Source organism: Homo sapiens, chromosome 1, assembly GCF_000001405.40.
Source record: "Homo sapiens chromosome 1, GRCh38.p14 Primary Assembly".
Classification (NCBI taxonomy): Eukaryota; Metazoa; Chordata; class Mammalia; order Primates; family Hominidae; genus Homo; species Homo sapiens.
The window spans coordinates 152968737-152991134 of record NC_000001.11 but is presented as its reverse complement, the minus strand read 5'-3'; the positions used below and the strand labels follow the sequence as shown (position 1 = coordinate 152991134).

General features: G+C 42.1%; 2 protein-coding genes across 4 annotated transcripts; both read right to left on the bottom strand.

The window, feature by feature from the left end:
• Window positions 1-5320: 5320 nt before the first annotated feature.
• SPRR1A (small proline rich protein 1A) lies at window positions 5321-7054 on the bottom strand. Of its 2 annotated transcripts, none has more exons than NM_001199828.2 (2): window positions 7010-7054; window positions 5321-5937 (listed from the first exon to the last, which is right to left on the bottom strand). In NM_001199828.2, the coding sequence occupies exon 2, from the start codon at window positions 5902-5904 to the stop codon at window positions 5635-5637; it is 270 nt and encodes an 89-aa protein (NP_001186757.1). In that variant the 5' UTR covers window positions 5905-5937; window positions 7010-7054; the 3' UTR covers window positions 5321-5634. The 2 variants fall into 2 exon arrangements, with proteins under 2 accessions (NP_001186757.1, NP_005978.2); NM_005987.4 differs by having other exon boundaries at window positions 5321-5923.
• Window positions 7055-18560: 11506 nt separating this feature from the next.
• Window positions 18561-22385, bottom strand: SPRR4 (small proline rich protein 4). 2 transcript variants are annotated; one of them, XM_017000482.3, is made up of 3 exons: window positions 21742-22385; window positions 20898-21006; window positions 18561-19264 (listed from the first exon to the last, which is right to left on the bottom strand). In XM_017000482.3, exon 3 carries the CDS (start codon window positions 19242-19244, stop codon window positions 19005-19007), a length of 240 nt encoding a protein of 79 aa, XP_016855971.1. In that variant the 5' UTR covers window positions 19245-19264; window positions 20898-21006; window positions 21742-22385; the 3' UTR covers window positions 18561-19004. The 2 variants fall into 2 exon arrangements, with proteins under 2 accessions (XP_016855971.1, NP_775103.1); NM_173080.3 differs by lacking the exons at window positions 20898-21006; window positions 21742-22385 and adding an exon at window positions 20441-20487.

The window sequence follows — 22398 nt, the reverse complement described above, 5'->3', positions numbered from 1 at the left end:
AACATGTTATTATTTATCAACTAAGAGTAGTCTGAGTCTTTATTTGATTCCATATCTTGGCTACTGTTGGTAGTGTTGCTATAAACAACTAAGACTATTCTTAGTTGATAAATAATAACATGTTTAATTGCTGTTATGATACGTATTTTAATCTATATTAAAATAATTTATAACTTGCATATCGATGCTCTTATTTCATGGTCATTTTTAACCTAAGGCCAGTCTAATTTTTTCATCAGTTCTTATCAGTTTTGATAAAGCAAAATACAAACTAATTATGAGACATGTGCATTGCGACAATGCACAACTACAGATGTTAAAGTTTGGGAAACAGTACTCTGCTAATATGCTTTATAGCACCCACAAAAGAGCTTCATTTTCACCCGTTCAAGATATACAATCTTCTCAATCAGGTCCTATGTAACTCTTCCTGTTCCAGAAAATTATGATATTAAAAGACCAGTTATCTTCACCCACAGCCCCTACCCAACATGCAAGAATAGAGAAGGTCAGGAAAAACTCAGTAAAAACTTTCAAATTTTTTCAAATTCTGTAAAGTAAATTCTGTCCAAGGGTTCTCTTAAGATATCTAAGCATTTGCAAGCATGGCCATCGATGTTAATGAGCACAGAAGATACTGATATGGCACAGAGAACAGTAGACCAGGGAGTGCCTTCCAGACAGCAAACTCAAGGGGAGGAGGGGCTTGATATCCTTGTTAGGTAGGATTTCACATTCACTGCAGATCGTGATTCCCATTCTTCATCCTTCACATGGAAGTTTTTATTGAAGCTTTTCAGCCCTGTTTCACTATGGCATGTTGCATTGGAGATAGGGGTAGAGATAGTTTGCCTTTTAAAAAATTATTTTTAATTGATATAAATGTACATATTTATTAGATACAGTGTGATATTGTGATACATGTATGCAATATATAATGATAAAATCAGAATAATTAGTACATGTATCACCTCAAACATCATTTCTTTGTGTGAACATTCAAAATCCTCTCTTCCAGCTATTTGAAAATATAGAATAAATAATTGTTAACTATGGTTACCCTACAGTGCTATAGAACAATCGAATTTATTCCATCAATTTAGCTATATTTTTGAATCTATTAGCCAACATCTCCCTATCCTCCCTCTCCCCCACCCTTCCCAGCCTCTAGTTACCACTATTCTAGTCTCTACTTCTATGAGATAAACTTATTTAGCTTTCACCTATGAGTGAGAACATGTGAAATACATCTTTCTGTGCCTGGCTTATTCACTAAAGGTAATGTCCTCCAGGCTCAACTATTTTGTTTCAAATGATAGGATTTAAGTATTATTTTGTGGTTGAATAATGTTCCATTGTGTATATATGCAATATTTTCCTTATATATTCATCTGTTGATGGACACAGGTTGATTCCATATCTTGGCTATTGTGGGTAGTGTTGCTATAAACAAGGGAGTGCAGAGACCTCTTCAATATACTGATTTCCTTTCTTTTGGATATATACCAAGAAGTGGGTCTGGTAGTTTTATTTTTAGTGTTTTGAGGACCTGCCATACTGTTTTCCGTAGTGGCTGTACTAATTTACATTCCACTAATAGTGTACTAGTGCTTGTCTTTATTTTCATCGTCGGAAGCATTTTTTTTGTCTTTTTGATAATAGCCATTCTAACTGGTTTGAAATAATATATCATTGTGGTTTTGATTTGCATTTTCCTGATGATTAGTGACACTGAGCATTTTTAAATATATCTTTTGGGCCATTTGTATGTCTTCCTTTGTGAAATGTCTGCTCATGTCTTTTGCTCAAATCAATTTTTTTTGCTAGCAAATAGTTTGAGCTTCTTATGTATTCTGGTTATTAATCTCTTGTTGGATGGATAGTCTGCAAATATTTCCTCCCATTCTGTAGGCTGACTCTTCATTTTGTTAATTGCTTTCTTTGCTGCTCAAAAGCTTTTTAGCTTGATATAATTCCATTTGTCTATTTTTGCTTTTGTTGCCTATGCTTTTGAGTTCTTCTCCAAAAATCTTTGTCCACACCAATGTCCTGCAGCATTTCCCCAATGTTTTCTTCTTGTAGTTTCATATTATATTTAAGTTTTTAATCCATCTCGAGTTGATTTTTGTATGTGGTGAAAGACAGGAATCTATTTTCATTCCTCTGCGTATGGATGCCATGTTTTCCCAGATAATTTATTGAAGAGATTGTCTTTTCCCCAGTTTATGTTCTTGGGGCCATTTTTGAGAGCCAGTTGGATGTGAATACGTGGATTTATTTATGAGTGCTTTATCTGTTACATTGGTTTTAGTGTTTGTTTTTTTCTGCCAATACCATGCCTTTTTTTGTTACTATAGCTTTGTAGCATATTTTGAAGTAAGGTAGTGTGATGCTTCAAGGTTTGTTCTTTTTGTTCAATATTGCTTTGACAATTTTGGGTCTTCTGTGATTCCATGTGAATTTAAGGATTGTTTTTTCTATTTCTTTGAAAATATCATGGACTTTCGAGAAGGATTGTATTGAATCTATCGATTGCTCTGGGTGGTATGGTCATTTTAACAATATTAATTCTTCTAGTCCATGAACATAAGATATCTTTCCATTTTACTGTATCCTCCTCTCATTTCTTTCATCAGAGCAATACAATTTTCATTTTATAGACCTTTCACTTCCTTTGTTAAATTTATTCCTAGGCACTGTTATGGCTATTTTAAATGGGATTGTTTTCTTGATTTCTTTTCCAGGTAGCTCAGTATTGATGTATAGAAATGCTACTGATTTTTGCATGTTTATTTTGTATCCTGTGACTTTACTGTTCATTTATCAGTTCATAGAGTGTTTTGGTGGAATCTTTAGGTTTTTCACTATATATGATCATGTCATCTGCAAACAGGGATAACCTGACTTCCTTCTTTCCATTTTGGATGGCTTTTATTTCTTTCTCTTACCTCAGTGCTCTAGCTAGGACTTCCAGTATTATGTTTAATAGAAGTGGTGAGGGTGGGCATCCTTGTCTTGTTCCAGATCTTAGAGAAAAAGCTTTCAGCTTTTCCCCATTCTGTATGATGTTAGCTGTGGGTTTGTCACATATGGACTTTATTGCACTGAGGTATGTACCTTCTATACCTAATTTGTAGAGAATTTTCACTATTAAAATATGTTGAATTTTGTGAAATTTTTTTTTCTGTGTCTATTGAAATGATCATAAGTTTTTTGTCTTTCTTTCTGTTAATATGATGTATTACATTTATTGTTTTGCATATGTTGAACCATCCTTGCATCCCTGGAATGAATCTCACTTGATCATAGTAGATGATCTTTTTAGTGTGCTGTTGAATTTGGTTTGCTAGCATTTTTAAGGACTTGCATCTATGTTCATTAGGGATTTTGGCCTGCAGTTTTCTGTTTTTTTCATGTTCTAGTCTTATTTTCATATTAGTATAATGCTAGCCTTACAGAATGATTTTAGAAGAATTCTCTCTCCAATTTTCTGAAATAGTTTGAGAAGAATTAGTATTAGTTCTTCTTTAAGTATTTGGTAGAATTCATCAGTAATTCCATTTAGCACTGGGCTTTTCTTAGTTGGGAAACTTTTTAGAGCTACTTCAATCTCATTACTCATTATTGGTCTATTCAAGGTTTCTGTTTGATCTTGGTTCAATCTTGGTATGTTGTATGTGCCCAGGAATTTATTCATTTCCTCTAGGTTTTCCATTTGTTTGTGTATTGCTATTTATAATAGTCTCTTAGGATGTTTTGCATTTCTGTGATATCAGTTGTAATGTCTCTTTTATCAATTGTGATTTTATTTATTTGAGTCTTCTCTCAAAAAAATCCACTTTTTGTTTCATTAATCTTTTGTAAAGCTTTTTAGTTTTTATTTTATTTATTTCTGCTCTATCTTTATTTTTTTGGGGGTTTGGTTTGTTCTTGCTTACTAGTTCTTTGGTATGCATATTAAGTTCTTCATTTAAAGCTTTTTTTTTTCTTTTTTTGATGTAGGCATTTATTGCTAAAAAAAAAACCCCTTTCCTCTTACTATTGCTTTTGCTATGTTTTACAGGTTTTGGTATCTTGTATTTCTATTTTTATTTGTTTCAAAAAATTTTTAATTTTTAAATTTAAATTTTTTTTTCATTTCTTCATTGACCCATTGATCATTCAGGAGCATATTGTTTAATTTCCATATATTTGCAAAAATTCTAAAGTTTTTCTTATTATTTATTGATTTCTAGTTTTATTTTATTGTTGTAAGAAAATATCCTTGATATGGTTTTGATTTTTAAAATTTGTTGAGATTTGTTTGTGGTATAACATGTGGTCTGTAATATTTTATGTGCTGATGAGACAAATGTGTCTATTCGGCAGTTATTGGATAAAATATTCAACTTTTATGTCTTACAAAAGTACAGTGTGTGCGTGCTCATGCATGTGTGTGTGGAGAGAGGAGCATGTGTGTACTTTTTTGAGAGCTTATGTTTGTATGGGAAGGAGACTGAAGATCACCTCTCTTAGGGTTCTTCTAGGGCAGGTGGTATGGATTCAACTCTCCTTCTTCCTGCTGCAGCATCAGGTATCTTCACAGCAGGCACTCGATGAAAAAACATAGGACTAAGGTGATTAAGTTAGAGAGAGGGAGAGAGAGACAGAGAGAGAGAGAGAGAGAAAGTGCATGTGTGTGTGTATGTCAGTGTTGGGTGGTTTGGGAGATCCAAGTGTGTGAAGGAGTGTGTGTGTGTGAGTGTTGGGATTTTGGAGATCTACGTATGTGTGTGTGTGTTTGAATGTCTGTGCATGCGAGTATATCCCTGTGTGGGAGTGTGGGAGTGAATATGTGTTTGTGGGTATGGTGTGAGTGTTCAAGTCCTTGGCTCCATGTATTGGGGGCATCAGAAAAGGAAGATGAGTGCAGAACAGATCACTAGGCTGGACTATGCACAAGCACTGTTTCTTTGGAATAATTTTTAAAAAGGAATCAACTAAACAAAGATGATGATGGCTTGAAGCGGGCACCATCTACACTCACATGTGACTCACTGCAAGTCATTAAGATATAAACATTAAGGTAAAAGAAAAAAGCCTTGCTCTAGCTCTGCCTACCCAAAGTAACAGATTGGGTTGGTGGCCCTGAACATACTCCCACTTCCAGCCCAGGAGTGTCCTGTGTGTACAGCAGCCATACACATTCACACACATTCTCAGTGTCAGGATCGGCCACCTTCTGACTACAGACCTCACAACCAGCCTTCACAGTGTTAGTTCCTACTTCACGCTGAGAAGGCAACAGAGGTTGAATCAACCAGTGACGCACAGCCAGATGTGGAGTTAAAAGTTATTTATTGAAGGAAGACTAGGGATGGTTCACTTGATCCTTCCCCAAATCCATCCTCAAATGCACCCGAGCAACAAGAAGACTAGCTCAGTCAGTGAGACGTTCAGCCTTACGCAGAGGCTCAGGAGCCCTCCAGAATGAGGGTAAGGGACATCTTTTTAGAGGTGCAAAGGAGCGATTATGATTCAGGGTGACAGCATGCTAACTGCAGGGTCAATAGGCAAATGGGATTCATAAGCAGAATGGAGTAGGGTGTTCAGTATCCAGTGGCCAGCTCCTCAAGGGCATGGCTGTGGACCACATTACTTCTGCTTGGTCTTCTGCTGGGCTGGTGCTGGAGTGACCGTTGAAGGGCAGGGCTCAGGCACCTTGGGCTGGCAGGGCTCTGGAACCTTGGGCTGGCAGGGCTCAGGCACTTTGGGGTGGCAGGGCTCAGGCACCTTGGGGTGGCAGGGCTCCTTGGTTTTGGGGATGCATGGTTCCTGGGGTGGAGGCTGGCAAGGTTGTTTCACCTGCTGCTGCTGAGGCTGAGGGGGTGGGGTGCAAGGCTGCTTCTGCTGCTGAGAATTCATGCTTCAAATGTGTTTTTTTCTAGAGACAGAAAGCTGACACAGTGATTCAATTAAAGAAAGATGGATACAAATTCAATGCCAAACAGATTTTATTTCAGGACCCTTTAGAAGAGAAAGCCTTTCATCTCCCTTAACTCCCCCATTACATTTAAAAATGAAATAAGCTTGGATAATTTTCAGGCCCTTTGAAGAGGAGGAGCTAAAAGGCAATTTCTTCTGCTCCATTTTATTGGAGTTCTCTTCTTGGCTCCCTTCCTACCCAAGGCAACTTATATCTGTTCTGGAAAAATGCCCTACTAAAGCTGGCTTCTGAGGGACATGAGGTCCGCATATTAGGTCTTTTGGAAAATGGCATCAGACCACTTTCCTCTCCTAGTACCATGTAGAAAGCCTGTGACTTATAGGATGGCTTTATATTCATCTAAGCCTCTATGGTTTTGCTTCTGGTCTGTGCTTACACAGTCCCTTCCAAATGCTTTTCTTCCCATCTCTGCTTGTCCAAATACCCCTCCATCATAGCTCACATCACTTGACACCCCTAGGAGGGTCTCCTTGAGCAAGGTCTCCCAAAAGTGCACAGCCCTTCTCTGCCCATCTCCGTCATGCCAATTACTATCTACTTTGCATTTCATTTATTTATATATATGTATTACCTTCCTGCTAGGTTTTATGTTTGTTAAGTAAGTACGTTAGGCATTGATTTGTCCAAAGTGCCTAGCATACTGCCTTAAATGGAATAAATGCTCAGTAGAGATCCATCTAATAAATTAAAATTTCTATAAATATCTTGTCAGGGGGAAATTGCAGTGTTACTGAGAGTGCTCTGGGCCTGAGTTCTAGTTCTGCTATGAACTTCCCATGGGCATTTGAACAATCTTCTCCAGGACTCCCAGTTCAATGACTATCTACTGAGGTGGGAGCCCTAACCATCTCTAAGGTCCTTTCAAATCCAGACTGTAATTTAACTTAAAATAAAGATATTCCACTATTCTCTATCTCCCATTGAAACCCTGGATTAACCTGCTTACACATATTTGCCTTTAGCTAATTTCTAATAATGAAAAAGTACACTAGAATTGCCAGTTTGTTGCAATCAGAGACTTACCTGGTATACGGAGCAGAATGGGCTGTGTGGTCCCTTGGGTTTGGTGTGAAGGCAATGGCCAGCTGGCTTTTATAAGATGAATGAGCCCTGCCTCAAGGAAATAGAAGCTCTCGGGCACTCTGTTTTCATTCCTCACCTGTCACACATGACTCACACTACCATCCTCATCACCGGTTGGCTCAGCTTTTTTGATGAACACCACCTGATATTTTTTGGCACTGGCTGGCTGAAAATGATGTCACTGGCCTAATTTTCACTGCCACCCTCATCCTCAGACCCAGGTGCAGGGCTTGCCTTGAGGGAGGGGTGAGCAGCAGGCTTCATGGAGGGTTTCATGAGTTAACCCTGGGGGGACATCTGAGTCCTGTTGAGGCCTTGCCACCTGCTGTCCTTGTCATTGAGATGGTTGTTCCCCGTGTTCTGTGGGACAGGGCACTCTTGCACACATGAATAGGTGGGAAAGGGAGGGGGAGCAGAGGAGCTGAGGTGGGCCCTCCTTGTCTGCCTTGGTGAAGGTGGAAGCTAGAAATAATGAAATGGACTGATTATAGACCCCTTGTCTCAGAGTCCAAGACCCTTCCATCCATTTCCCCCATCTTTTTCCCAATTCCATTAAACTACACACATTCAGAATAATTTACTTATGACTCTCCCACTCTCACCTTCCTCCCCCTGACTGGTTGCTAATCTGGGAAAACCTGCTTTCCTTCACCAACCACACCTTTACCCTTCTCCTACTTCAGGGACTTTCAGGGGCTAATCCTTCTTCTGGGATCACTTTTTCCCTTCACTCCACCCAGACATCTGGCCCTGGCCTTTTCCTCCTTTCTGATCAGGCTAGACTGCCCCCCACCTGAAAACCCAAAAGCCTTTTCTACCTGCCTCCCTGCAGCCCATCCATGGGGTCCTCAATGCTGAATCCTTCTCCACTTTTGCCCACTGCCAGCTCCAGCCCCAATACCTAGAGATCCTGCTGGCTGCAAGGTTTTCCTCCTCCTTCTGGGTCTGTATCTCCTGGGGGCTTTCCGAGGGTCAGAGCTGTTCCTGCTTAAAGCAACGGTGTCCCCACCACAGTGTTTATTTCCTCATTTATTCAACAAATCTCAGTGGGGAGCCTAACATATGCCCATCATGCCTGTCATTCTAGGAGCTCTCTGATGAGGAAGCCCACTTTTCCTCTACAGATCATGAACTCCCCAGGGTAAGAGACAGAGCACAGTTGAGAGCCACTGAGATTATGGATCTCAGAGAGCCTTTAGTTCACACTCCTCAAGGGATGATTGGGGAATCTGAGGCCACCAGAGGTGAAATAACTCACCAAGGTCAAAAAAACAAACCCTAGGAAGAAAAGAATTTTACACAGAAATCCTGTGTTCTCCTTTGTTTTAATTCCTTGTGACTCCCTAATGTCTATGGAGGAAATTAAGCCCAGGCAGAAAATTGATTAGAGGTGGAAAGGGGAGCCCTTCCTGACTGAGAGCTGGGTCACTTGTAGTTCTGGAAAGTTTTAGGAGTGACAGCGTGAGGACACAGAAAGAGCCTTGCCTTGTGGGTAAGCCTTAATCGGTGCTAAGATAAATCCCTTTAAGTAGAAATAAAGATGCTTAATATTTGAGTGGCTCTAAACAGTGGGTGTTTCTAGCTCTGCTAAAGTAAGAAGGGCATGAATTAGAATAGGTGGAAATAAGGTTCAGTTTATCATTACTCAGGGCACCAGGGTCGGAGAAAGGAAGGGAAAAGCCAAAACTAAAATGTCTGCTTCTATCCTGAGTTGCTTTCGCTCTAGGGGAGCTCTCAGAGTGACATCGTGACACAGCTGAGGTGAAGGCACTGGGGGAGGCAGTAGGTGATAAGCCCCTGAGCACCTGCACATGCTTGCCTTCACTCCACGATGGTCAGATTCTGCCCTGCCAAGGAACTTCTCTTTCCTGGGGACACAAGAACAGGGGTTCCCTCAATCTTTCCATAGGCAATTGCCATAAAACTGAGGTCTCTGATTCAGAGCTGCACTCAAAACACAAACTGTTACTAGGTGTGGCCTTTGGAAAATCCAAATCATCCTTAAAACTCAGGTGTTCAGATGGTTCCTCCTCCTCATCTAACCCCTCCTTTACCCAAACACACACCTAAATGTTTGTGGAGCACCTGCTGGCTCCACAGCCAGTGAACCTGAGGCCAAGGTCAGCCTCCCACTGTGTCCATGCAGCCATTGGTCCCTATCCATCTCCATCCTCACACAGTGCCTGGCGTGCAGAAGCTGCTTGGTGACTGGCATTTATAGACCGACTGCCTGGCTGGCTGGCTGGCTGGCTGACTGAATGAATGAATGACTGAATGGCGTTATTTGTAAAGACAGGCTGAGAGTCTACTTTGAAACCTGCCTAGAAGCTCCGGTACACAGTGTACCTGCTGCCCTCCCCACCCACCTGCCTCACTGTCAAACAGTTTAATGCCCCACCTTGCTCCGGGCTGGTGCCAGCCCCACCAGGACACCTGAGCTCCAAGACTCTTGCCTCACTTAGCTCTCCTCTAGGTTTGTGCCCAGGTCCCCTTCTTCACCAAGTCCCCACCCAGGAGCCCTGACAGCAGGGGCTGCTGGAACCTGTTGCTATGTCTGGTAGGATTCTCAGCCCTGCAGGAACCTGCTGCCTAGTTGTCTGTCCTCTGGTGTCACCCAGCTTGTCTCAGGCCCTGGATGATCTGAAGCCACCTCTGAAGCTGGTGTGTTCTCATGCCCTCCCTGGACCTTAGCCCTGGATGCAAAGGAATTTCCTTCTCCCTGGTTATCAGCTCCTTACTGGACAGTCCTGCGTGCCTCAACATGTGCTTCCTTCACCCCACCCAAGCCTGCTTGGGCTCCAGACTCTGGAACTTTCTCTTGGTCTCTGACATTCTTCTCTCTGTGTATTTGAAGCTTCCACAGTGACTTGTGTTAATCGTTAATCTTCCCTCAGAAGAAACTTTGTTTCTCTGCCACTGGGGTTGGGTTAGCTATTGAATCAGGCCCCACAAACTCCCACATAAAGACAAGGGGAAACTGGGTGGCTTCCGACAGTAAGAACAGCACCCCAGATTTCTCAGCCTTGCAGAAAAGCCCCACCTAGGACACAGGAGCTGCTGCTCTTCTGACATCGAAAACTGGCTCTCATTTGTCCCTGGAACTTCCATTGACTCTGAGCAGTGCCTCAGGTTCATCAGTCATTTCCAGAGCAAGGAAGATTGATGGCCCTAAGTCTAATCAGTGATCAGGCTTTTCCCAGCATAGATTACTCTCTCCCCCACACTTCCCTAAAGCCCAGACCCTGCAAAGAAGGTCATGCAGAATTTGAACTCCAGGCCTTTTCCTGTGGGGATTGCATATTTAAAGCATGGTAACATTTAGAAACATGCAGTATTAACAGGTTTACCCCCTCCCTTTCTCTGATCACCTTGAGAAGCTAGGGAGACCCCCAGAGTGTCAGCTGCTCAATTCAGGCCATGATAATTTTTAAAAAGTCTCTATAACACACAAGCTCTTCATCTGAGAAAGGGCAGGAAAAGGAGAAACACCAGATCCCAGGTGTTAGGAGCCTCCTGAACACTTTGGCCCAGCAGGGAGGAAAAGTTAAGTTTGCAAATGTGGGTGCAGAGGTGGAGGGAGGACATGAAATCATAGCACCAGAGAAACTCTACTCAGCCCCTCATCCAATAGAGAGGGAATGAACTGCTGTGGTGGGGGAAGGAACTCGCTCCAGGCTTCACAGCCTCTTTAGTGACAGAATCAGACCCAAACCTGGGATGCTCAATTCCCTTTCCTTTCTACCATCTCTTTAAGAACAGAGCATGCCCCTCACCCTCACTCTTTTTATTTCTGGTCCTTGAAGGGATGGATAAAAAATTAAACCTGGCTTCTCTTGCTTGAGGTATATAGAAATAAAAGCACCCAGGCTTAATGTCTTGCCCAGTTGTTTCAAAGCCTTGCTATGCCCTTATTAGTTGGATGACCTTGAGCAAGTTGCCTAACCTTTCTGCATGCTACTGTCCTTATCTTTAAAAGGAGAACTTTAAATTCTACTTCACAAAGTTGCTATAAAGATTAAACGCAATGATGCTTCTAACACTTTAAGATGAATGAGCTAAATACGTCTAGCGTAATAATTCTTGCTAGCTTGTCTCATTCTTTCCTCTCCTTCCACTTGAAATCAGTTGAAACTTTTTCCTTTTGACTGTGAGTTTCCTTTTTTCCTTCTCACTCTGTGTGTGTGTGTGTGTGTGTGTGTGTGTGTGTGAGAGAGAGAGAGAGAGAGAGAGAGAGAAAGAGAGAGAGAACAGGGAGAGAGCGCCCAAGGACAGGGCATACTTCTTCAATGGAGCAACATTCTTGGCCTTTGTGATTGCTTTATCTCCCCTCATTTTTTTACACTCGATTTCAGGTTTACATATTTACCAAATTATATCTTGAGCTATTGAACAGTGACAATGACTGCACAGTTCATGTTTTATAGGAGTTGGGGCATGGGAGGAGGCTAAAATTATTGGTGATTATACAAAAACCTGGACACACCTTAGATAAGGAAATTGAGGCAGAAAAACTTTGAGTGACTCTCCCAACATGTCATGAAGGTCTGATGTGCCAGGGTACAGTCCCTTGAGAACTTTGTTGTATTGCTTCTCAAGACTAGTGGAACACTCTATAAATCAGAGGGTGACTCTTAGAAGAGACACTGACTGGATCCCTATAGTCTCACACATCTGAGCTGATCGACTGCCTATCTTCCACCAGAAGTAGAGCTTCTCTGGGTATGGATGATCAAAAGACACAGACGTATTTTAAAATGAAAAGTATTGGAATCTGGGATGATTCAGACGGATGTGCTATCCCTCCTATCAATCATTGCCTCCTGGGCTGTAGAGGGGGGCAAAGGAACAAGTTCATGGCTAAAAATTTTCTGCAGAGAATCTAAACCCTGTGTAGTTGCCGGTCCCTTCTGTTTGCTCAGCTATGCCTGCTTTGTCCCTGGTCCACCTCTGAAAGCACCTTCTCCAGAGTGCAGAGTGATCTCCACAGATTACAGGTTTGGAAACATGAAGTCCTGGATTCAAATCCTGACTCTACTACTTACTAGCTATGTGTGTGATATCAGGAACGTTTTCTAATAATAAAAATAGCTACCATTTTATTAGCTTCTGCAGAGTGTCAGACCATGTTCTAGGTACTTGACACTAGTTCTTACAATAGCAGTGCAAGGACCAGGTCATTAAACGTAGTCTATAGATGTGGAAGCTGTAGCACAAAGAATAAATCACTTGTTCAAGTTTACATGGCAAATAATGTGGCAGAGCCAAGATGCAAATCCAGTAACTCTGAAGGCTTTATGAATCTCAGCGTATCTTACCTGTAAAATTTGTTTTTAGACCTATTATTAAATGAGATTACTTATGCAAAACAACTACTGTAGTGGCTAGAACATAGTAGATGGATCATAGATGTCAAGTGCATTTCTTCTCCTTAGGGTCTGAACTACACCTGTTATTAGAAATTAATCTTCCATGACTTAGAAAAACCTAATCATTTCCTTCATTTTTGAAGTAGCCAGTCAGTCATTCGTTTAACACATATTTGCTGAATGACCCTCAAATGTCAAGCATGAAGTCCCAGCTTTATGAAGTCTAGTAGGGAAGTAGACAATATTCTTTGAGTTTCTGGGATCCAAACCCCATCAGTGAGGAGGGTTTCCCCAACTGACCTAAGCATAAGAATCACTTAGGATGCTCCTTCCAGTGAAATAGAAATAGCTAAGGGAAGGACGTGGGGATCTGTATTTCTAAAGTGCATCAAGTGGTTTTTAAAATCAAACAAGTTGGCCAACAGTAGACTCTAAACACAAGGGCTTTTCTACATTGATTGCGATTGACATCATCTGGTATCTTTAAAAAAATATTCATGTCTAGGCACCATTCCAAAGTTTCATTTAATCAGTTGATTGTTTTTTAATTATCAGATAAAACCAGGATTGAAAAATCACTACTCTGCCAGAATATCTCAACTTGTAGGACCTGAATCCAACTGGAGAGTCCCAGTCCTATGAATAGGTGGAAGGAGGTGCAGGTGGGTGCTAAGATACCTGGGCAGATATTGATGTTGATGCAACTAGATGCTGATGAATGTGGGTGTTTGGCCTGAGGATATTGGGAGCCTTGGGAAATAATTAAGTCCCATCTGAGGAAGGCAAAGTACACACACCCTTGAATGTCACCCTTCCAAGCAGGGAATCATCAAAGCACTAACTCAAGCTGGCATGGTAGGCTGGTCCTGGGGCCAGGAGATGATCCCCTGTCACCTTCCTGGACATCATCATGCACATGGTATGGAGACCTTTTGGTGGGTTAAAGGCTCATGCTTCCTACTTCCAGAACCTCCTGGCAGGGCCAAATTATGACCTTTGGAGGCACAGAGTACCAAGAAAGTATACTGCTGATGAGGAGAAAAAAACTTTTTGTCTATCCTCTTAGGTTCAGTAATGGGGGCCTGCAAATTTGACTGACAGAAGACAGATTAATAGGAGAAAAGGCATATGATTTATGTTGATGTCAATATTTTTACATGCATAGGTGCTTCACAGAAAAGAAATGAAAACCCAAAGAAGTGGTTAGGCTTGAGAGCCTGTATATTCTTCCTATGAAAGAAAAAGGGTTTGGGCTTCAAGAGAGAATAAATTGTGGAAGATGACTAGGGATTATATGGGGGAACTTCTGGAATATAAGGGCTACTTTAGTAAGGTTGGTTCATGCAGACTCATCTCAATGATGGTTCTCCATCTCTAGTAATAAGAATTGGTCCTCTCATCCTGCACAAGACAGGGGATAAATTTGTGCTCTGCCTTTAGGCAGATAAGCTGAAGGCAGAAAACTCTTGATGTCCCTGTTGACCCTCAACTGCCTTCAGCTCAAAATAATCCTTGTGCCAAGTGGGACATTTTAGGGTGGCATATCCTGATCCCCGTCACTGCCCTTCCATCCTCCTCTGCCAATCTATATAAGATAAATCTTTATTTTTCAAAATTACCTTAAACTCATTAGTTGTCATTTGTTTTTAAATGTTCTAGTTACCATAGCCTGAAATGGTTCATGGAATCTGATCTGCATTCATTCATTTACTTACTCTCTTGTTTTTTGAGCTCTGCTGATGCCCCAAACACATGTATGTACTCTGCTTATTAGGAAACCACAAGATTCACCCTGATGGGGTTAGAGAGGGTGGGGTAGGGAACAGGACCCATACATATGCAAAAACTTGAAAGAATTCACAGATCGACCTAATTTTAAGGCATCCAACCCAACCTCTCATTTTATGGATAAAGGACTGAGGTTAAGGAACTTGTTCTAGGTCACAGATTTATTCAATAGCAGATCCAAAACTAGAATCTAAGTCTCCTCTTTTCTAGCCTGGAGCCTTCCCAGGCTGGGAAACAGATAACACTTACTTATTAGCATAGACTCCTGAGCTAGAGTAAAAAGACTTCCATATGGCCACCTTCTACTTCTAGGCAGAGGAGTATCGTTAGCTCATGCTTTGATAGCCATCTTCCCCAGTTGTAGATGAAAATAAAATCAATTACTTAATGAACATATGCTATATGCAGCCACTTTCCAGATATTATCACCAATCCTCCCCAAAATGCTGCAAATAATTGTTAGAACCTGACAGCTTTTTGCATATGAGAAAACAGACTTTGGATCTAAGTGACAGAATGCAATCACACAACCAGGAAATGGAGAAGCTGGGATTCAACTCTGTTCAGTCTGAGAGCCCTTGCCCCTTTTGCAAAAGGAAATGGAATGTCAGAACAGCTCCAATGCAGATGCCCAGGCCTGCTCACTTTGTCTCTGAGGGCCTCCTGGCCAGAACAGGAGGTGGCAGGGAATTTGAGCCTGCTGGGTGTTTGTGACAGATAGATTTGGTGGGGCATTGTTCTGTTTCTGGGGTAGAGAGAATTTTCTAGGTAATAAAATGGTGAGAAGGAGGAATACTGGGAGGATGGTGTATTGAGAGATCCTTTCTCCCCTGGCAGTGTTTGGAGGTTTTGTAAATATATTCTCCTTTCCTCAGAAGAACAGATATGTTTTAATTTTGTTGATATGTTGCAGATGGGCTTTGAAGATACAATGGGGTAGAAAAAGGTTAAAGTATGCACACAAATAGTGAGAAAAATAATTGTTTAAGCCAATCAGGCTTAAATATTGCCTAAGTACTTTTTAAATTTATATAACTTTTTTATAACTCTCTATATAACTTTATATAATGCTTTTTTAAGAAAAGGAAATATGATATTATTATACAGGAAAATGTACACAGCTCAATGAATTTGCGTGACCACATCTGTCTAATCAGTTCCCAGATAAAGACACAAAACTTTGCCAGATCCCTGTAAAGCTTACCGTCCAGTCATTCTGACTTTATAAAAATAAATGGAATTATACAATATGTGCTTTTAATATCTGCTTTCTTTCTCTCAAGACTGTGTTTGAAAGATTCATTCGTGTTATGGGGTAGAGCTTGTCTAACTAATCTCATTGTGTTTTGGTATGCCATTGTATGAAAATTCACAATTAATTTATCCATCCTACTTTTAATGGATATTTGGAATATTTTTAATTGGGGTTATTACAAATACTGCTACTATAACTGTTTTCATATATGTGTTTTAGCAATTCTATGTACACATTTCTGTTGTGTATACAATAAAGAGTGAAATTGCTGGGATGGGGATACATATGATCAACTTTAGAAATACTGCCCAATAGTTCTCTGAAATGGTTGTCCAATTTACACTACCATCAGCAGTTTATAAGAGCTCCTGTTTATCCATATTCTTACCAACACCTGGTATTGTCTTTTTAGTTTTAGCCAATATGTTGCTTTGTGTAGGAGTATCACACTTTCATTCTAATTTGCATATCTTAGATGAAATTAAGGATAATTGACATCTCTACAAAATAATCTTCTAATACATGAACATGAAACATCTCCAAATTTGTGAGTTCTCTCTTAGTTTCTCTCAATAATGTTTTATATTTTTAGTATAAACATCATATCTTTCATTAAACTTATTTAGGATAATTGATACTATTTTAATGATATTTCTATTTTATTGAGGTTAAACTAACAAAAAAAATGCACAAATCAGTTGAGTGTATGTTTTGATATATATATGAACCCAGGTAACTGGCACCCACTAGGCTGAGAACTTTTCCAGAATCTCAGACAGCTTCATCATATCCCCTTCCAGTTGGTACTCTCCCCAGCGATGGCCATGATTTTGACTTCTATCCAACAGAGTAGAATTATCCCTGGCCTTTCAGTTTTTAACTCTCTATCTGGTGTGTTTGCCAGAGGCCCTCCACCTGGCAGGTTGCAAACTCCATTCATTGTTTCATAAACCTACTAAAAACTCCACTTTACATTTCAAAGACTTTCTGCTTAGGTATTTAATATCCTGACCTGACCATTCCTAGAATTCATTACATGTTCCAAGTGGAATATCAACCACTTGCTTAAAGACCGCCCCCTAGAGCACCCATAAATTCTCTGGTCTCTCTGTCCCTAGCAATGATCCTCCACAGTAGAAAGCTTTGGTTTTTATTCTTCTGCTCTTGCCCAGAATCCACAGATTATCCCAGGTAAACATTTGTTGGCTCACCTCTCTGAGGCTCTCCTATCTCTGGAGTTTTAGGGTCCCCAGGTGGGTGCAGCTAGTTTGTAATTTGCTCTAGATGTACACTAGGCTGCTGGCTTGCCACAGGCTGTCCTTTTCCACTCAGAAGCAGTTCTTTCTTCTGTACTTTTGAAAAGCTAGTCATTGCACATTTGGGGATAGTGAGGTAAACAAGACTCCTGTTCTTTAAGGGCTCATATTTTAACTTTTATGAGTTTAATTATGGCTGGGATTTTGACATAAGCCAATGTTGCTTTGTGAACTTCTGAAGGGTAGAATTACATAAAAGAATTTCTTCATAAGGGGGAATGGATGCCCACCTACTCATGCAGAGATGGGACTTTGTCCTTGGCCACTGGTGTGGAAAACATGGGTGTCTCCCCTTCCTCACTGAGTTAATAACCTGAGACACATATCACAGCAGAAGCATTCATTGTTTCAATCACCCCTATCTGTCCAATTAGCTGAAGACTATGCAAATCTATCAGCCTGGTACTCAAAAGTCTGTGGGAAGACTTGCCAAGGCCTTCTTGGGAGACATGAAAATGACATGAAAACTCTGAAAAACAGTGTGTCCAAGAAACTGGATAGGGCTTAGATGGAAGGAAGCCAGGAAGGGGAATAAGACAGACTGGCTTTTCTACTTGACAGAGGGGAGTTATTTTAGGATGCAGGGATTGGGGCACAGAAAGGCTGTCAATGAATTCTTAGGGCTAGAATGAATCTTAATTGTGTTTGCAATACTTTGGCTTTCCTGGTTAATGTCGGTACCCACTAAGTTTTAAGTAACTATGACTTGGAAATATCAGCCATGGATCGCTACTTTAAGGGGAAGTAGAGAAGGTGGTTATTTGTTCCCTTTTAGGCTAGTGTGTTAAGTGAGAAAGCAATTTATGCTTGATGGTGGCAACTGAAATTGAGTGACTAAATCCCAGGAAAAGAATAAAGCTCAAGGGGAGAAAATCGAACTCCATTCAGCTGCTTCTTCCTACTCAGGGTCTCTTCTTCGAATACTTATCTTTCTTTATATCTGAGAGGTTTGCCGCTTCTTTCCAATATAGGCAGCTGGTCTCACACGTGGGTTAGGAGGGTCAGGAAGCCAGTTGTAAAAACAGGTTTCTTTTATAAGCTGTGTAAAGTCAGACTAACTGACAAAACCAGGCCCTGTATACTTTGTACAAACTCTCTGTATGTGGCCATCCCCGGAACAATATTTCCCTGTGTAAGAAAATGACTGCCTTCCAAACAGTACACTGAGACACAGGATAAATTGACTCTGGATAGCTCTGGAAATCCAGCATGGCAGAGTGGAAAACTAAGGTCATTCTAGAACTTGCCAAATATCAGATGAGTTGAGTATGAATATGTAAGTGAATGAGTGTGAGTTAATGAATGAACAAAAACATAAGCAAATACATGAAAAAGTCAGTTGCACATGTTTGTAGAAATGTTTTGCAGGACTCAGGTCATTTATGTATGCTTTGTGTGCTTTTTCAGAATGACAACTTCCAAGAGGAAAAAACTGCATTCATCAGGTGGGCTGGGCTTCTAATGGTAGGAGCTAAATTTTCCTCCCTTTTGATCTTCCCTAGATGGTATTAGTTATGCAAGACTCTATTAGACTTTTGCCAATTAGTTGCTGGGCTTGTTTTCTGTCCTCCTTTACCTGAGATACATCTGGATATGTTTCCCCATTGTTGGTTACCAGAGAGTAACTGTGTCCATAAGAGTGACTTCCTGAACTCCCGGGCATGTGTGTACTTGCACCTTCACTTCCCTAAAATGTTCCCTCTGAATGAATGAATGAATCACAGAATGGGACTGGGAGTGGACAATTAGCCCAGGAAGCAGACACATTTATTACATGAGGCACATATTTATTGGGGAAAACAGGAGAGAAGCCCAGAGCAGGGGGCATCATGGAGAGGAATGAGGCAGAAACTGTGCACCAGCCTCTGTGACCCTACTTGTCAGGGTGGAACCCCAGAAGAAGCCCAGACACTTTCCTCACTTTGGGAAATGGATGGGCCTTAGCTGTGGCCACGCTGGAGCCTGCAGAGAATGAGGTCTCTCTCACACCCACCTGGGAGAGCATCGGGGTGGGATATAGAAGAAGCCAAGGTGGTATGTGTGGGGAAGGGTACGATGGGAAGAAATCCTTACAATGCTTCCTTACATCTTGGGCAGGAGGAGATGTGAGAGGAGGGTAGGCTCAAGAGCTGGAGGGAAGAGGAGAAGGAAGAAGAGAAGGTTCCATCTGGTAGCCAGGATGGTGGATGATGGTAATATCCAGTCCATCCTTACTTCTGTTTGCTCTTGGAGGCTTGCTGGGCTGAGGGACACTTCTGCTGGGCTGGAATGATGGTGCCTTTCGGTGGGCATTGCTTCTTGACCTGGGGAGCACATGGATCCTTGGTTTTGGGTGCACATGTCTCTTGACATTTAACAGGGGGTGGCTGACAAGGCTGCTTCACTTGCTGCTGCTGGGCCCTCTGGGGTGGGCACTGCTGCTGCTGCCGCTGCTGCTGCTGGGAAGACATTGCTCTAGGAACAGGTGAGCCTAAAGGAAACCGGGCAGGGACACCATGAGAAGGGTGTTAAAAAGTAGCCTTTTAACACCCTTTTTAAAAAGATGGTTAAAAAGTAGCCCAGACATTTTACAAGGTCAAAGCATGCCATCTTAGCTGACAGATCTGGACAATGTCAACTGGCTCCCTTTGATAATGCAGACAATGAGAATGGGCAAGGATGTAGGGGCATGAGGAGAGGACAAAAACAGTCTCTGTCTTACAGGTAAGCATCATGGTGTGTGTGTGAGTGTGTGTGTGTGTGTGTGTGTGTGTGTGTGTGTGAGAGATCGGGCTGGAGAAGGGGTGTATAAGAATGCAGAGGCCTGATCTCTAATCCCTGCTCCACCCCTGACTCACCATGGGAGACTAAGGCAAGTCCTATGTGGCTACAGGATAGTGGTTCCAGCCCTCTACAAAGAACTGGGAAGCTTGAGGGCCAGCCAAATAGATCACTGGAGCCAAAGGATGACAGGAGGATGTTCAAAGGAAAGAGCGCTAGCCAAGAAGGCTCAGACATTGGTTCTAGGTCCATCCTGCCATTAACTTCATGGGCAACCTTCCTTCTGTGGGTCTCAGCACCCTTATTAGAAGGATGCTGGTCAGGAAGTTCCCTGAAGCCTTCCCAGCTCTGATGAGGGTCTCTGGCTATCTTTGTAGGCAGTGTTCCTTATGGTCTAAGTTAATGATTATAGATGGGAAGTGCAGGCCTCAGGAAGTAAAGAGGTGGCAATCAGAATAGGGAAGCATGAGAGCTGCATAGGATTGAATAAAATGTTCAATATACCTGTTTGCATACACCTGGAAGAAAAGTTTAAAGCTTACTGGTAAGCAAAATGCAGAATAGGGTGTGAGAAACCTTTAAACAGGGCTCGGAATTGCTACAAAATCCTGTAGCTCTAAATATCTCCTTCTTCAACAATAAAAATCTTCTTTCTGGGGAGTCAAACCCATGATCAGAAAATAAGTCATACTGAGCAATGGTGCGGAATGGAGATTAAACTTTCTAAGTACCGATTAGTGTGCCATTTCCGCAATTGTCAGAAGACTTGTGTCACTTCCCTGATTACCCAAGGATGGAAGAGGATCTTGGCCTAGCGGCTCAAAGGAGTTAAAGGAGAAGGAAAGCGCCCCACAAATCCCAGGAGAACAGATGAGTTCTCACTTACCAGAGGCGACAAGCTGGACCCCAGGAGAGGAGGCTGAGCCCTTGTCCACAGGCAGAGCCACTCCAGGAGCCTTTATAGGGCCCCCAACCTGCCCTGGGCACTTGGTGTGGTCCTGATTACCACCTCCCAGGGAATTCCTCACCCACTTCTCCCACCTGCACTTCCTTCAGGGACTTGCTTTGCTGACCTGTTTTGATGAAAGCCACCCACCATATATTTTCAGCATTCCAAGTCTCTGCACCTGAGCTGATTTAACCCACCAAAGGTGTTTGCTCAAACTCAGGGATTCAAGATCTTTTAAATATAGTACAAATTGAAGGAGCTGTTTGCAGACAGACAGTTATAAGAAATATTGAAGAAAAAAGAGGAAGAGGGAGAGGATGGGGTTTGGGGCAATTCTGACAAAAATGTGAACATCCCTTTTTCTGCAAATTGCTGCCATTTCTTGAGCACTCACTGTGAGGCTAGCACCAGGACCATCCGTCATGCTTATTATTTCATTTCATCTTCATGGCCCCTCTAGGGAAAGTGTCGTTGTTACCATTTTGCAGATGAAAAAAGTGAGGCTGAGAAAGATTAAACAGCAGAGATGGGATTTGAATTCAGATCTGGATGATTCAATGCCTAGCCCCAGGTACCACTCATCCCCCTTCCTCAATACACAGTGCAAGTGTCCTTCCTATTCCAGGGGGACAGTTCACGAAGTGTTCTGTGAGGCTTCTCTGGGGCACAGGTAGAAGATGATGTGAATGGTGCCCCAGCACACGGCGGTGCTGTCCCCATCTGCCCATTGGGAGTTGGGGTGCTGAGGAGTATTCGTGGTGGTTACAGAACATGGGATAGAATTGGCCCCTGTGGTAGACTTGCCACATAAAATACAGGACATTCAGTTAAATTTGAATCTCAGATAACAGAATATTTTAAAAGTATAAGTATATTCCAAATATTGCAGGAAACATACTCAAAAATTACTTGTAGTTCATATGAAATTCAAATTTCACTGGGCAGGCTCTATTTTTATTTGCTAAATACAGCAATCCTACTCAGGGCCTTATCTAGGTGGCAGGAAGGAGCCCTGGTCCTCCATTTAGCCTCCTAGGCCCTGGGATGGAGAAAGGCAGGGCCTCTGGGAAGCTGGTCCACCTCTAGCCCTCTACCCCAAAGATCGACCTCAGGATGCTGCCCAACAAGAGGCCATGCAAGGGCTCACCACTGCCATCACCAGAGGAAGGGGTAGGATGGCCTGAGAAATGATAGGAATACCTTAATGTACTTTCCAAAGCATTTTTCAAATCCCTCACCTCATTTAATCCTCATGACAATTTTACTGACAATTTAAAGAGGCTGGCCCAAAGAAGTTAAAGGACCTGCTCAACCACATGCAGCTGCTCAGGGTGGAGCTGGGTGGGTGCCTGGCCTGGGGCTCATTTCCACTCCATCACCGCAGTCAGCATCTCCATGGTGGACAAGTCACTGTCATTGGGTGGGGACCATGACTAATAACGTCTCCTGAGCTTTCTGTCTTATGTGGATGGAATACTGTTCATTTTTCAGGGTCAGCCTCACTTTAATCAGCCCCTTAATTTTCCCCTCCAGGCCAGACCTCCCCCACTTCCTCTTCCCAAGCCTAGCAACACTAAGAATGTAATATTCTGGGTTCCAGATTCTGGTTCTGCATTCCACCTCCAAGAAGAACACCATCTCCACCTGCAGCCCTCACTTCCACATACCCCCAGTCCTCTGTGCTCTTGCTGATATGAACTCTCCACAAGGAAACTACGCAGCAAGACAGATTTGCATGGACATAGACCAAGGCTTTTCATATACCTGGTGCCTTGAAGGCACTGGTATGTGTGTATTGCCTGTGAACAGATGGGCAGCTCCATCCCTCATGTCCCAGTCACCCATGTGGGTTTACTGCAATGAATTTTACTCCTATTTTTCCCAATTTCATCATT